General features: G+C 37.7%; 1 long non-coding RNA gene across 5 annotated transcripts in view, besides 1 other annotated feature; it reads right to left on the bottom strand.

The window, feature by feature from the left end:
- LOC105379364 (uncharacterized) overlaps nt 1-16,122 on the bottom strand; it is a 535,736-nt gene that overhangs the window by 35,083 nt on the left and 484,531 nt on the right. For all 5 annotated transcript variants that reach the window (NR_189605.1, NR_189606.1, NR_189607.1 and 2 more), the window contains one exon: nt 8,958-9,115. This is a non-coding gene — a long non-coding RNA (uncharacterized LOC105379364). The remainder of the gene's footprint in view (nt 1-8,957; nt 9,116-16,122) is intronic.
- Nucleotides 7,231-7,730: an enhancer, noted in NCBI's record as "H3K4me1 hESC enhancer chr8:34072823-34073322 (GRCh37/hg19 assembly coordinates)". NCBI's record gives its function as "activates a minimal SCP1, AML or CMV promoter by ChIP-STARR-seq in naive H9 embryonic stem cells {active_cell/tissue: H9 hESC(naive)}" and the evidence as "EXISTENCE:reporter gene assay evidence [ECO:0000049][PMID:30033119]".

The following is a 16,122-nucleotide window of genomic DNA, read 5'->3' as shown; positions in this document are numbered from 1 at the left end:
GGTTGTTTCATGTTGGATACTTTTCTGCACCATAACCTCTTTTTCTGTCCTGAACCAGACCCAGTTAATCTCTGCACAAAGTAGTTAGTATTTCCTGGGCATACAGTGAATATTCATCAATCTATATAGATTAAATTATTAGCTTGTGCTGCTGAGAATCAGGTTCTTATTCTTTTTATTTTTCTCTACCGCCACCTCCCACATAATTTAAGAAATCCTAAACTAATTATCCAATTTCAGCCAGTACAGAGTCTAAATTTCATAGCCTTATTATCTTTATTATAAGGCTCTTCAGCTCCACTTCAAAGGCAGTTAAAAGATTGGCATCAACACTGAATTGTACAGCAAGGACACTTGGCTGCACAACTCTTTTCAATGCTCCTCAGCACTGAACTTGATTTTCTTATCTGCCCAGATTATGCAAAATTAATCAATTCTTTGAAATAGCAGTGAGATATTGTTTCCTTTGGTTAAGAAAAATGATTCAAAGAAATAGAACTGATCTTTCAATATATTTAGAGAGTAAAAATGCAGGGAAAATCCACAGGGATCACAGAATCCCTTGTTCTACTTCTCACTTCCTTTCTATTTGATTTATGGACAATCTCTTAAGTTTTTCTGGTGGAAAAAAAAAAAAAAGAAATCTTACAGGAAGGAATGAGCAGAATCTATTTCAGCTTCCAAGAAACTCTCCAAAATAGCAGCACCAACAGTAAGAGCACTGCCTGGGAACTGCATTGGATAATTCAGTGTCTCAAAGCATATTTGCCACCACATATTTAGCTTGGTCCAATAGATATATTACAGATTTTATTAACATCTGGCCAAATTCAGCATCTCACACCCTTTCCAATAAATACCACAACTCTCAATGTCTCTCCCTCTCTCTCTTTTACACATGCAATTACATACATACACTCACTCACACATGCAATTGTTATTCTATGTTTAGCCACAATCCTCATTCCCCGAACTTTTCTATACATATATATATATAATGCAGATTTCAAAATAACAAAGAGCTGAGATCCTTTATGATTAGAGAAACAAAAAGAAGGAGAATTCACCAAAAGAAGTGAGTAAAGGTGCTTATTACAGGTGTTGTTAATTAGATTGTGTATACTTTACTCCCAACCCCTTCAGATATGGCTGCTAGATGTACTGAAATTCAAAGAAAGAGACTGGAAGATATTGTTCCAAATCCTCTACCCAGCACTGGGGAATATCAATGAACAACAACAACAGTAAAGAAGACCTGTCTTCCCTGGAGCTTTCACTGGGAGAGAAAATAAAGAATAAACAAAGAAAGTAAGTTAAATATTATCCTATGTTAGAATAAAAAAGTTGAGGAAAGCAGAACTGAGTACAAAGGATTGGGGATGCCAGGGGCTGTTTTAAGAGAAAATGACAGCAAACATAATCCTGAAGAAAGTCAAGGAGAGAGCCAGTGGATATTGTAAGGGAAGGGAATTGTAGGCATCATGGCTACCATGTTCAGCTATCATGCATGTTTTATTGCACAACCTGAACAATGCTACACAGCGTTTCCGTCAAGTGGAGACAGCAGCAACTGAAAAGATCTGGAGTGGCAGCATGCCCAGTAGGTTCATCATGAGAAAGGGAGATCACTGTAGCTGGAACAGAGAAAGCAAACTGAAGAATAGGGAGAAGAGGAATGGGAGTCTAAATGAGTCTGAGTTTCCCTTTTATTATCCATTGTGATTGCTTTTATGTGAGTTCCTTAAAGCTGGAAGCCATGTTTGACAACCAAAGCCTAACCAGAGGAAATCTTACACATGAAGGCCAGTCTCAATGTTTGACTGGTACACCAACTACAGAAGACCAGGAGCCAGCATGATGGCATGGCGTGAGTGCATGGGTTTATATCAGATAAACAGTTTTGAATTCTGGCTCTATCACTTACTAGATGTGGGAATTTGGGTTTGTTTCTTTTTTTTCTTTTATTATTATTATACTTTAAGTTTTAGGGTACATGTGCACAATGTGCAGGTTAGTTACATATGTATACATGTGCCATGCTGGTGTACTGCACCCATTAACTCGTCATTTAGCTTTACGTATATCTCCTAATGCTATCCCTCCCCCTTCCCCCTACCCCAAAACAGTCCCCAGAGTATGATGTTCCCCTTCCTGTGTGCATGTGTTCTCATTGTTCAATTCCCACCTATGAGTGAGAACATGCGGTGTTTGGTTTTTTGTCCTTGTGATAGTTTACTGAGAATGATGATTTCCAATTTCATTCATGTCCCTACAAAGGACATGAACTCATCAATTTTTATGGCTGCATAGTATTCCATGGTGTATATGTGCCACATTTTCTTAATCCAGTCTATTGTTGTTGGACATTTGCGTTGGTTCCAAGTCTTTGCTATTGTGAATAGTGCCACAATAAACATACGTGTGCATGTGTCTTTATAGCAGCATGATTTATAGTCCTTTGGGTATATACCCAGTAATGGGATGGCTGGGTCAAATGGTATTTCTAGTTCTAGATCCCTGAGGAATCGCCACACTGACTTCCACAATGGTTGAACTAGTTTACAGTCCTGCCAACAGTGTAAAAGTGTTCCTATTTCTCCACATCCTCTCCAGCACCTGTTGTTTCCTGACTTTTTAATGATCACCATTCTAACTGGTGTGAGATGGTATCTCATTGTGGTTTTGATTTGCATTTCTCTGATGGCCAGTGATGGTGAGCAGTTTTTCATGTGTTTTTTGGCTGCATAAATGTCTTCTTTTGAGAAGTGTCTGTTCATGTCCTTTGCCCACTTTTTGATGGGGTTGTTTTTTTCTTGTAAATTTGTTTGAGTTCATTGTAGATTCTGGATATTAGCCCTTTGTCAGATGAGTAGGTTGCGAAAATTTTCTCCCATTTTGTAGTTTGCCTGTTCACTCTGATGGTAGTTTCTTTTGCTGTGCAGAAGCTCTTTAGTTTAATTAGATCCCATTGGTCAATTTTGGCTTTTGTTGCCATTGCTTTTGGTGTTTTAGACATGAAGTCCTTGCCCATGCCTATGTCCTGAATGGTAATGCCTAGGTTTTCTTCTAGGGTTTTTATGGTTTTAGGTCTAACATGTAAGTCTTTAATCCATCTTGAATTAATTTTTGTATAAGGTGTAAAGAAGGGATCCAGTTTTAGCTTTCTCCATATGGCTAGCCAGTTTTCCCAGCACCATTTATTAAATAGGGAATCCTTTCCCCATTGCTTGTTTTTCTCAGGTTTGTCAAAGATCAGATAGTTGTAGATATGCGGCATTATTTCTGAGGGCTCTGTTCTGTTCCACTGATCTATATCTGTTTTGGTATCAGTACCATGCTGTTTTGGTTACTGGAGCCTTGTAGTATAGTTTGAAGTCAGGTAGCGTGATGCCTCCAGCTTTGTTCTTTTGGCTTAGGATTGACTTGGCAATGTGGGCTCTTTTTTGGTGCCATATGAACTTTAAAGTAGTTTTTTCCAATTCTGTGAAGAAAGTCATTGGTAGCTTGATGGGGATGGCATTTTTTCTATAAATCACCTTGGGCAGTATGGCCATTTTCACGATATTGATTCTTCCTATCCATGAGCATGGAATGTTCTTCCATTTGTTTGTATCCTCTTTTATTTCATTGAGCAGTGGTTTGTAGTTCTCCTTGAAGAGGTCCTTCACATCCCTTGTAAGTTGGATTCCTAGGTATTTTATTCTCTTTGAAGCAATTGTGAATGGGAGTTCACTCATGATTTGGCTCTTTGTTTGTCTGTTATTGGTGTATAAGAATGCTTGTGATTTTTGCACATTGATTTTGTATCCTGAGACTTTGCTGAAGTTGCTTATCAGCTTAAGGAGATTTTGGGTTGAGACAATGGGGTTTTCTAGATATACTATCATGTCATCTGCAAACAGGGACAATTTGATTTCCTCTTTTCCTCATTGAATACCCTTTATTTCCTTCTCCTGCCTAATTACCCTGGCCAGAACTTCCAACACTATGTTGAATAGGAGTGGTGAGAGAGGGCATTCCTGTCTTGTGCCAGTTTTCAAAGGGAATGCTTCCAGTTTTTGCCCATTCAGTATGATATTGGCTGTGGGTTTGTCATAGATAGCTCTTATTATTTTGAGATACATCCCATCAATACCTAATTTATTGAGAGTTTTTAGCATGAAGCGTTGTTGAATTTTGTCAAAGGCCTTTTCTGCATCTATTGAGATAATCATGTGGTTTTTGTCTTTGGTTCTCTTTATATGCTGGATTACATTTATTGATTTGTGTATACTGAACCAGCCTTGCATCCCAGGGATGAAGCCCACTTGATCATGGTGGATAAGCTTTTTGATGTGCTGCTGGATTTGGTTTGCCAGTATTTTATTGAGGATTTTTGCATCAATGTTCATCAAGGATATTGGTCTAAAATTCTCTTTTTTGGTTGTGTCTCTGCCCGGCTTTGGTATCAGGATGATGCTGGCCTCATAAAATGAGTTAGGGAGGATTCCCTCTTTTTCTATTGATTGGAATAGTTTCAGAAGGAATGGTACCAGCTCCTCCTTGTACCTCTGGTAGAATTCAGCTGTGAATCCATCTGGTCCTGGACTTTTTTTGGTTGGTAAGATATTGATTATTGCCACAATTTCAGAGCCTGTTATTGGTCGATTCAGAGACTCAACTTCTTCCTGGTTTAGTCTTGGGAGGGTGTATGTGTTGACGAATTTATCCATTTCTTCTAGATTTTCTAGTTTATTTGCATAGAGGTGTTTGTAGTATTCTCTGATGGTAGTTTGTATTTCTGTGGGATCGGTGGTGATATCCCCTTTATCATTTTTTATTACGTCTATTTGATTCTTCTCTCTTTTCTTCATTAGTCTTGCTAGCAGTCTACCAATTTTGTTGATCCCTTCAAAAAACCAGCTCCAGGATTCATTAATTTTTTGAAGGGTTTTTTGTGTCTCTATTTCCTTCAGTTCTGCTCTGATTTTAGTTATTTCTGGCCTTCTGCGAGCTTTTGAATGTGTTTGCTCTTGCTTTTCTAGTTCTTTTAATTGTGATGTTAGGGTGTCAATTTTGGATCTTTCCTGCTTTCTCTCATGGGCATTTAGTGCTATAAATTTCCCTCTACACACTGCTTTGAGTGTGTCCCAGAGAGTCTGGTATGTTGTGTCTTTGTTCTTGTTGGTTTCAAAGAACATCTTAATTTCTGCCTTCATTTTGTTATGTACCCAGTAGTCATTCAGGAGCAGGTTGTTCAGTTTCCATGTAGTTGAGCGGTTTTGAGTGAGTTTCTTAATCTTGAGTTCTAGTTTGATTGCACTGTGGTCTGAGAGACAGTTTGTTATAATTTCTGCTCTTTTACGTTTGCTGAGGAGAGCTTTACTTCCAACTATGTGGTCAATTTTGGAATAGGTGTGGTGTGGTGCTGAAAAAATGTATATTCTGTTGATTTGGGGTGGAGAGTTCTGTAGATGTCTATTAGGTCCACTTGGTGCAGAGCTGAGTTCAATTCCTGGGTATCCTTGTTAACTTTCTGTCTCATTGATCTGTCTAATGTTGACAGTGGGGTGTTAAAGTCTCCCATTATTATTGTGTGGGAGTCTAAGTCTGTTTGTAGGTCACTCAGGACTTGCTTTATGAATCTGGGTGCTCCTGTATTGGGTGCATATATATTTAGGATAGTTAGCTCTTCTTGTTGAATTGATCCCTTTACCATTATGTAATGGCCTTCTTTGTCTCTTTTGATCTTTGTTGATTTAACGTCTGTTTTATCTGAGACTATGATTGCAACCCCTGCCTTTTTTTGTTTTCCATTTGCTTGGAAGATCTTCCTCCATCCTTTTATTTTGAGCCTATGTGTGTCTCTGCCTGTGAGATGGGTTTCCTGAATACAGCACACTGATGGGTCTTGACTCTTTATCCAATTTGCCAGTCTGTGTCTTTTAATTGGAGCATTTAGTCCATTTACATTTAAAGTTAATATTGTTATGTGTGAATTTGATCCTGTCATTATGATGTTAGCTGGTTATTTTGCTCATTAGTTCATGCAGTTTCTTCCTAGCCTTGATGGTCTTTACAATTTGGCATGTTTTTGCAGTGGCTGGTACCGGTTTTTCCTTTCCATGTTTAGTGCTTCCTACAAGAGCTCTTTTAGGGCAGGCCTGGTGGTGACAAAAATCTCTCAGCATTTGCTTGTCTGTAAGGTATTTTATTTCTCCTTCACTTATGAAGCTTAGTTTGGCTGGATATGAAATTCTGGGTTAAAAATTCTTTTCTTTAAGAATGTTGAATATTGGCCCCCACTCTCTTCTGGCTTGTAGAGTTTCTGCCGAGAGATCAGCTGTTAGTCTGATGGGCTTCCCTTTGTCGGTAACCCGACCTTTCTCTCGGCTGCCCTTAACATTTTTTCCTCCATTTCAACTTTGGTGAATCTGACAATTAAGTGTCTTGGAGTTGCTCTTCTCGAGGAGTATCTTTGTGGCGCTCTCTGTATTTCCTGAATCTGAATGTTGGCCTGCCTTGCTAGATTGGGGATGTTCGCCTGGATAATATCCTGCAGAGTGTTTTCCAACTTGGTTCCACTCTCCCCGTTACTTTCAGGTACACCAATCAGACGTAGATTTGGTCTTTTCACATAGTCCCATATTTCTTGGAGGCTTTGTTTGTTTCTTTTTATTCTTTTTTCTCTAAACTTCCCTTCTGGCTTCATTTCATTCATTTCATCTTCCATCACTGATACCCTTTCTTCCAGTTGATTGCATCGGCTCCTGAGGCTTCTGCATTCTTCACGTAGTTCTCGAGCCTTGGCTTTCAGCTCCATCAGCCCCTTTAAGCACTTCTCTGTATTGGTTATTCTAGTTAAACATTCGTCTAAATTTTTTTCAAAGTTTTTAACTTCTTTGCCTTTGGTTTGAATTTCCTCCTGTAGCTCAGAGTAGTTTGATCGTCTGAAGCCTTATTCTCTCAACTCGTCAAAGTCATTCTCCGTCCAGCTTTGTTCCGTTGCTGGTGAGGAACTGCATTCCTTTGCAAGAGGAGAGGTGCTCTGTTTTTTAGAGTTTCCAGTTTTTCTGCTCTGTTTTTTCCCCATCTTTGTGGTTTTATCTACTTTTGGTCTTTGATGATGGTGATGTACACATGGGTCTCTGGTGTGGATGTCCTTTCTGTTTGTTTTCCTTCTAACAGACAGGACCCTCAGCTGCAGGTGTGTTGGAGTTTGCTAGAGGTCCACTCCAGACCCTGTTTGCCTGGGTACCAGTGGCGGTGGCTGCAGAACAGCGGATTTTCGTGAACCGCGAATGCTGCTGTCTGATCGTTCCTCTGGAAGTTTTGTCTCAGAGGAGTACCCGGCCATGTGAGGTGTCAGTCTGCCCCTACTGCAGGGTGCCTCCCAGTTAGGCTGCTTGGGGGTCAGGGGTCAGGGACCCATTTGAGGAGGCAGTCTGCCCGTTCTCAGATCTCAAGCTGTGTGCTGGAAGAAACACTGCTCCTTCAAAGCTGTCAGACAGGGAGATTTAAGTCTGCAGAGGTTACTGCTGTCTTTTTGTTTGTCTGTGCCCTGCCCCCAGAAGTGGAGCCTACAGAGGCATGAAGGCCTCCTTGAGCTATGGGGGGCTCCACCCAGTTCGAGCTTCACAGCTGCTTTGTTTAACTAAGCAAGCTGGGCAATGGTGGGCGCCCCTCCCCCAGCCTCGCTGCCGCCTTGCAGTTTGATCTCAGACTGCTGTGCTAGCAATCAGCGAGACTCCGTGGGCGTAGGACCCTCCAAGCCAGGTGCGGGATATAATCTCCTGGTGCACCGTTTTTTAAGCCCGTTGGAAAGGCGCAGTATTAGGGTGGGACTGACCCGATTTTCCAGGTGCCGTCTGTCACCCCTTTCTTTGACTAGGAAAGGTAACTCCCTGACCCCTTGTGCTTCCTGAGTGAGGCAATGCCTCACCCTGCTTCAGCTCGCACACGGTGCGCTGCACCCACTGTCCTGCGCCCACTGTCTGGCACTCCCTAGTGAGATGAACCCGGTACCTCAGATGGAAATGCAGAAATCACCCGTCTTCTGCATCGCTCATGCTGGGAGCTGTAGACCTGTAGACCGGAGCTGTTCCTATTCGGCCATCTTGGCTGCCAGCCTCGGATCAGATGGGGTTTGTTTCTTAATTTGATGTCAACTTAGTTCAGCAAAAGTGCCTTGGTTCTTACTAGATAATCTAATATGATGGGCCCCAAAATAAAAGGAACATGCTTGGAGCTTTAAGCCTCAAACAACTTGTAGTCTAAATTGGAAGCCTGCAAACCTTTTTGTGTAAAGGTCCAGATAGTATATATTTTAGACTTAGTGGGCCATTTGGTCTCTGTTGGAGCTACTTAATTCTTGCATTGTTAACACAAATGTAGCCAAAGAAAATATCAAATGAATAAGTATGGCTGTCATCCAATAAAACTTAATTTACATAAATAGGCAGCAGGCCAGATTTTGCCCCCAGGCCATAGTTTTCATCCCCTGATCTAAAGAAGCACTGTCCAATAGATGTAATGATGAAAGTGTCCTGTGTCTACATAACCAACAGCCACATGTGGCTGTTGAACTCTTGAAATGTGACTTTGTGTTACTAAGGTACCACATTTTTAATTTAATTTAAGTCATTCAAATAGCCACATGATACTTTATTGAATAGCCTTGTCTAAAAGAAAAGAGAGGCACGGAAAAACACAAAGACTACTATATGTTTAAAAATGCCAGAAGTCCCATTAACTCATGTAAGAAGTAACTAGCACTGACTAGGAGTTTAACTAAAGGCTTCACAGACTAAGCAGCATTTGAAATAGATCTTAAGAAATAAGAAGACTTTGGTAAGCTTTTAAACCTTGCTTGTAAAACCAAAATACAAATAACCAAAGTTGTAACAGGAATTTTTACAATTTATTTCTGTTTATAGAAATGAAACATAACTGAAAACTGAAAAGTGCTCTATACTTACAGTCACTTGTTTGGCACTCCTCTGTTTTCCAATAGTACTGTGGAATAAGTACAGGCTTTAGGACCAGTGAGAGCTGATTTAAAACTTTGTTCTGCCTTTTACTTATCTCATGAGTTTGGATAAGTCCCTTTAACGTTCTGAGCAGCAGTTTTCTCATCCTTAAAATGGAAAAGGTAATAGTGATCTCTTAGGTCATTTGTAGAAATCAAAAATGATCCAATTATAACACTTAGGATAACACTAAGAACTTGGGATTCAGTTACTGAGTTATCATTTAATCATTGTTATGTCATCAACATCATTTCAATCAAATTTCACAATTCTGTTCGAGTAAGGAAGAGTGGGCATTACCATCTTTTTAAATAGGAGGTTTATTTGTGTAGACATGTAAAGGTATCTTGCCCAAGACAACATAGCTCATAAATGGTAGAACCAAACTTAGAAGGCTCAGAACCCCTTATACTTATCCCAGTGCTTTCTCCACTCCCTGTTATTAACTCTCTTATCAAGACAAGAAATATTTGGAATGTCAGTTCTAGACTGAACCTGTCATCTCGATGAGTTATAAGAGATATTCAGGCCGATGGGGCTTTGTCCAACCAGTCAATTATATTTACCAGTCAAATTACCTGCTTTCACATAAAATCTGTCTGGATCTCATTATTTAAATAGTTTTTACAAGATAATCTCCATCTGTGCTATAGTCTAGAGCACTGAATCTTGCTATTTAGAAGCATTATGCAAAATAAGCCAAAAATGCTATAGGGCTCTATATCTCAAGCCTTCCTTGACATGGGTTTGTGCTAAGTTCTGTCCTTTCTATCAGCTTATGTTTAATTTATATATTTTTTTATTATACTTTAAGTTTTAGGGTACATGTGCACAAGGTGCAGGTTTCTTACATATGTATACATGTGCCATGTTGGTGTGCTGCACCCATTAACTCCTCATTTAACATTAGGTATATCTCCTAATGCTATCCCTCCCCCCTCCCCCAACCCCACAACAGGCCCTGGTGTGTGATGTTCCCCTTCCCATGTCCATGTGTTCTCATTGTTCAATTCCCACCTATGAGCGAGAACATGCGGTGTTTGGTTTTTTGTCCTTGCGATAGTTTGCTGAGAATGATGGTTTCCAGCTTCATCCATGTCCCTACAAAGGACATGAACTCATCATTTTTTATGGCTGCATAGTATTCCATGGTGTATATGTGCCACATTTTCTTAATCCAGTCTATCGTTGTTGGACATTTGGCTTGGTTCCAAGTCTTTGCTATTGTGAATAGTGCTACAATAAACATACGTGTGCATGTGTTTTTATGGCAGCATGATTTATAATCCTTTGAGTATATACCCAGTAATGGGATGGCTGGGTCAAATGGTATTTCTAGTTCTAGATCCCTGAGGAATCACCACACTAACTTCCACAATGGTTGAACTAGTTTATAGTCCCACCAACAGTGTAAAAGTGTTTGTATTTCTCCACATCCTCTCCAGCACCTGTTGTTTCCTGACTTTGTAATGATCACCATTCTAACTGGTGTGAGATGGTATCTCATTGTGGTTTTGATTTGCATTTCTCTGATGGCCAGTGATGATGAGCATTTTTTCATGTGTCTTTTGGCTGCATAAATGTCTTCTTTTGAGAAGTGTCTGTTCATATCCTTCGCCCACTTTTTGATAGGGTTGTTTTTTTCTTGTAAATTTATATTTTCAAAGTGAAGCAATAAACTTTTTAAAATATAATCAATTTCATTACATGCCATCGCTAATCCCACCTGTCTTCCTAACAATCACAAACAGAAGCACTGAGCAACACAATATAGCCTTTCTTATTTCCAAATAAAAAAGTAATAAAATGACATAAGTAAGTACAAGTAGGTTTTTTCCTTATATCAAAGCAGTACTTAGATTAATAACAATATTAACTGCATATGTTGAAAAGTGAGAAATGTTTGTGTTCGATCTACTCCATTTCCTCATTCTACACATTTTTAAATCTTCCTTGTCAAATAGGATTCTCCAGCTCCAACTTATTCTTTAGGAACTATGTCACACTAAGTGTTTGCAAAAGGAAAGCTACTAGTTAGGATACTGATGTTATATCACACTGAAATGATAAACTGCAAGGGGAAGGAAATGCTACTTGACTCAGAGATCAAACTAATTAATTTTATTTCCTCTTTCCAAACCTAACACTATATTCCTGTGTCTGTCTGATGTTAGCCTGATGATGTCTCTTCATGGGATTTGAGGTTGGGACCCAACCCACCATGCTCCTGGAAGGAAAACTGATAAGGGAAAGGAGGTAATGAAGAAGGATATCAATTTCTTGGTTGGAGTTCCTTTCACCATTCACTTGAACTGGGTATCTTCCATGTGTTCTCATATCAACATCAGTGTGCAATGAGCTTTCCCATACTCAAAATTTTTAGGCCATGGGTAGTTCTACACTGTTTTTCTAAATACTTCAGAGAATTTTAGAAATGTAGAAGAGAAAAGGAGCATTGAAGAAATTAGGAAATGTTACTTATTTACCTACTTTCTTCTATTCATTCATTCATTACAAATGGCTAAACTGAGGTCCGTCCATAGGCGTGAAGATTCTTACCAAAAGCTTGATGCTAGTTAATAGCAGAATTGTGTTGAGCATCCATGTCTTAAAAGTTTCAATTCAGTCCTTACTCTATTGTACGTACTGCTTCCTTTATATATAGGCATTTCCATGAATATACAATAGCTTTGTTTATTTTTTAAGAAAAAAAACAATGTTCTACATTCTCTTTGTGTAAAATTCTCTTCCTATAAGCAATCCTATGAAACTCTTCCTATAAGTTTTAGGGAGTTGAACATGCAGACTTTATAAATTTCACAGTATTGTGAAATGAGCAAATAGTTGCCATTGCCTTAGTGACTTCCAATAGATTTCTCTTCACGTATAGCTTCCTATCTCTTTTACACATTTGAATTTGTCAGTTGTTCCTAGCCCAACTCCATATTGGCTCCCCTGAAGAATTCAGCTTTCATTGATTTCCCCTTATAGTCAATCCTAGATGCTTTACCCCTTAATAATATACCTATATCGCACATATCAATCTTACAGTTGCCATACAGATTATACTTAACCTTCACCTGGACGAGGAATGGGTCCATGACCCCTAGAATCTTCTCATGCCATGGTGGACATAACTCCTTCTCAATAATATATAAATTTGAAGGACTGAATTACCACTTTGATGACTTTAAAGAATGACTGTGACTTTCTAAATTACTCTGCAATACTCTCTGTACCTGATTTATTAATTAGGAGTTGAATCTCAAAGTCTACTCTAGGTTTGAAGGCTATTACTTCATTGGGATTCTTGCCCCCAAAATGCCTCACTACATTTAGCTGATCCAACAATCTTCACAAACATTGATGTTTCATTCACATCACAGTTTAGGGAGCTTTGTTTCTCTTTTAATGACTGAGAATAAAACTCTAAAGAAAAACATCTCCATGGGAAGTCTAACATTGCTTAGGAATGAATAATCTGTGACTGCCAGAAAACATTACTTGATTATCAGTTTGAATTTTCTTTTGCTTCTTACTTCATCCCATTAAGTATTTATTTTATTCCCTTGGACCACCCCAGACTGTTGTTCTCCCTCCTGGCTGTCTCTATATCTTTCAAATATTTGGCAAGCTGCAGATTTTGATTGATCCACCCTTTTTTTCTTCTCCCCAAGTGCTAACGTCTATCTTCAATGGATTTTTGCCTATTGTTCTTTGAGATGAAATCAATAAAAATTACAAAAGCTGAAGAATTCTTAAACAAGCTATTTTGCCCCTCCTTTTACCTTCTCACAAAGGATTTTTTTTCCATCTTATCACTTTTCTTCCAAAAGTAGCATACACCTTAATTAAATTATTACAATTCTTTGGAGGATTATGAATAAATCTTCATTTGTTTTCTTTATTAGCATTTGATCTGCTTTTGTTAATTGTGTAAATGTTCCCCGTAGGCAGAAAAGCAATATAACTCAAATGAAGCAGGGCTTTTTTTTAAGGATAGTTAATTTGATTAAAATTACTGTCAATATGATGAATGGAGGCATTTTGGCACAAGTTGCCCAGTAACTTGAAATTGACAATATAATGTGTGTGCCATTAGGACTAGAACAATAAATTCAACAATGTATCATAGCATTGATCTGGGATGCTCCTCAGTTTAGGATAGAATAATGATTCTCTACATTTACATAATATTCATTCTTGGACTCAATGCTTATAAATAGACTTTATCATCTTGATGCTTAAATGATGTGGAAACTAGTGGACTTCATCAGTGCTGAGGAAGTAAAATGGTAATTCATGGATCTAGATTCAGGGCTTAGAGTGATAGAAATTGATTACCACTGGATGGCTAACATGATGTAGTTAATAAGGAAGGATTTATAGCAAATATAAGTAAACGTTCATGAGAACCACTTAAAATGCAAACCAAGAAACTACAGACTTCCAACAATAGACTTTTTCTATGCCAACCAGATGCTTACCAATATTCTCCAATGGGTAAATGCCTGATTAACAAATTTTCTTGTGATAAAGGAGAAGTAGATGAAAGTAAATGTACCTAAGGATTAGATTAAGACTGCTATAAAAATAAGCATTTTTCTAAAGGCTAATTCTCATTAATTCAACCATTGTAGAAGATGGTGTGGCGATTCCTCAAAGAGCTAGAACCAGAAATACCATTTGACCCAGCAATCCCATTACTGGGTATGTACCCAAAGGAATATAAGTCATTCTATTACAAAGATACATGCATGTGTATGTTCACTGCAGCATTCACAATAGCAAAGACATGGAATCAACACAAATGCCCATCAATGATAGACTGGATAAAGAAAATGTGGTACATATACATCATGGAATACTATGCAGCCATCAAAAGGAATAAGATCAGGTCCTTTGCAGGAACATAGATGAAACTGGAAGCCATTATCCTCAGCAAACTAATGCAGGAACAGAAAACCAAACACTGCATGTTCTCACTTGTAAGTGGGAGCTGCCCAATGAGAATACATGAACACAGGGAGGTAAACAACACATACTCTCCAAGACACACTGGGGCCTGTAAGGGGATGAGGTTGGGGGAGGGAGAGCATTAAGAAAAATAGTTAATTCATGCTGGGCTTAATACCTAGGTGATAGATTGATAGGTGCAGCAAACCACCAGGACACATGTTTACCTATGTAACAAACCTGAACATCCTGCACATATACTCCAGAACTAAAAATAAAAATTAAAAAGAAAAAACAAATTAAAACAAACAAACAAAAAAACAAATCCCTTACATCTTCCGGAACTAACTTTCTAGATCTTAAGAAAGCAAAATGTTAAAAACACATTTTAAATTTTGTTCAATGTTTTTGGTAGTTCTTGTGTTTTGTGTATTGCTTTTTATTTCAAAGTTGTGAAACAATTTTTTTAACTGGGAAAAAGAAAGTAATTTATAAGGACAAAATCCATCAAGTGAAACATACATAAAGGAGAGAGGGGCAAATAGAAAAAAGTCTTTTGTGAAATATTTATTTACCTGGTAGAAAAAGTCAATCAGTATAATCATGAAACAGAAGTAGCAGTAACTAAATAAATCTGTCCTATATGAAGGAAAATCATTAATTGAAAGAAACATATATAAAATCTGACTACTTTTCTTCCAAGTTTTGCTACAAGGAGCAAACTGATCCTTTAAAATAACAAGTTAATATAAATATGTATCTAATTATTATCAATCAATAGCTGCTCTGCTCTTCAAACTCTCAATTTCTCTTAATTGTCTAGATTTCTCAGATTTTTATTTTAATTTCACTATATTCTGTTCATCACCTCTAGGATTTATCATTAAGACTCTGAAGAAATGACTACGTATTTTTATTTTGACAAATCAACATGTGCAAATAAAGCACAGGCAATTTACTTTTTAAAAGACCTCGCAATAATGTAATTTTAAGAAAGAATCAATTCTATTGTAAACCAAGAAATTTGTTCCAGACTATAAATTCTTGAAGGTAAATGCAGTTTTTAACACATCTATAAATTATATACAAATGCAGAACAAACATTCTCAAGGAAAAAAGTTTAAAGTTCTTTGGGGAAAAAAAGAATAAAACAACCTAAATCAAAATCTCCTATGAGTCTTTGTTCTAATCACAGTTTCTACCAACAGTTACTTTATTTTCCTTCAATAGAGTATTTTAAAAAAATGCTAAAGAACAAGAAAATGTTTAGGATATATCAGGCCTTCTTGTTAGTGTTAAGATTAATGTAAAAGAAAAGCCTATCACAGAAGAAAAGCAACAGATTCTTGAATGTAGGCAAAATAAGTGGAGAATCTTGAAATGCATAGACAAGGCTAACAGCAAATTAGAAAATTATAGCCAGTTTTAGTCAAGAGGGTAACCTTGAGGAAACAAAACAGTGACACAAACACTTAAATGCCTATATTCTCAGGTAAACATATTTCATTACATCATATTCTAAGTTACGTGTAATAAGAAGGCAAAATATGTCATCAATATGTTTTTATGCTCTTTATTAAAGTTGTCTTTTATCTATTTACTGCTTTTATACATTTTTCCAAAATTTATTTTCCAAAACAGATAGCTGTGTAATTTTCTTTAAAAAAAAAAAGTTTTACTTTTTAGAGCAGTTTTAGGTTTACAAGAAAATTTTGATCAAGATACAGAGATTTCCCATATACCCCTGTCTTTATACATGCATAGCTTCCCTAGCCATCAATATTTCCTACTAGAGTGGTACATTTGATATAACTGATCAATCTATATTGACACATCTTAATCACCCAAAGTTTATAATTTACATTAAGGTTCACTCTCGGTATTGTACATTCTATGAATTTGGACAAATGTGTAATGGCAAGTATCTACCATTATTATAGTACTATACGGAGTATTTTCACTGCCCTAAAAATCCTCTGCACTCTGCCTATTCATCCCTCCCTCTTCCACTCCCCCCAACCCTTGACAACCACTTATCTTTTTACTGTCTACATAGTTTTACCCTTTTCAGATGTCTTATACTTGGAATCACACAGTATGTAGCTGTTTCTGATTGTTTCTCTTCACTTAGTGAGATGCAGTTAAGGTTCCTCCATGT

The sequence above is a fragment of the Homo sapiens genome, chromosome 8, assembly GCF_000001405.40.
Source record: "Homo sapiens chromosome 8, GRCh38.p14 Primary Assembly".
Taxonomy (NCBI): domain Eukaryota; kingdom Metazoa; phylum Chordata; class Mammalia; order Primates; family Hominidae; genus Homo; species Homo sapiens.
Note: the sequence above shows the minus strand (reverse complement) of the source record. Positions and strands in the feature narration are given on the sequence as shown.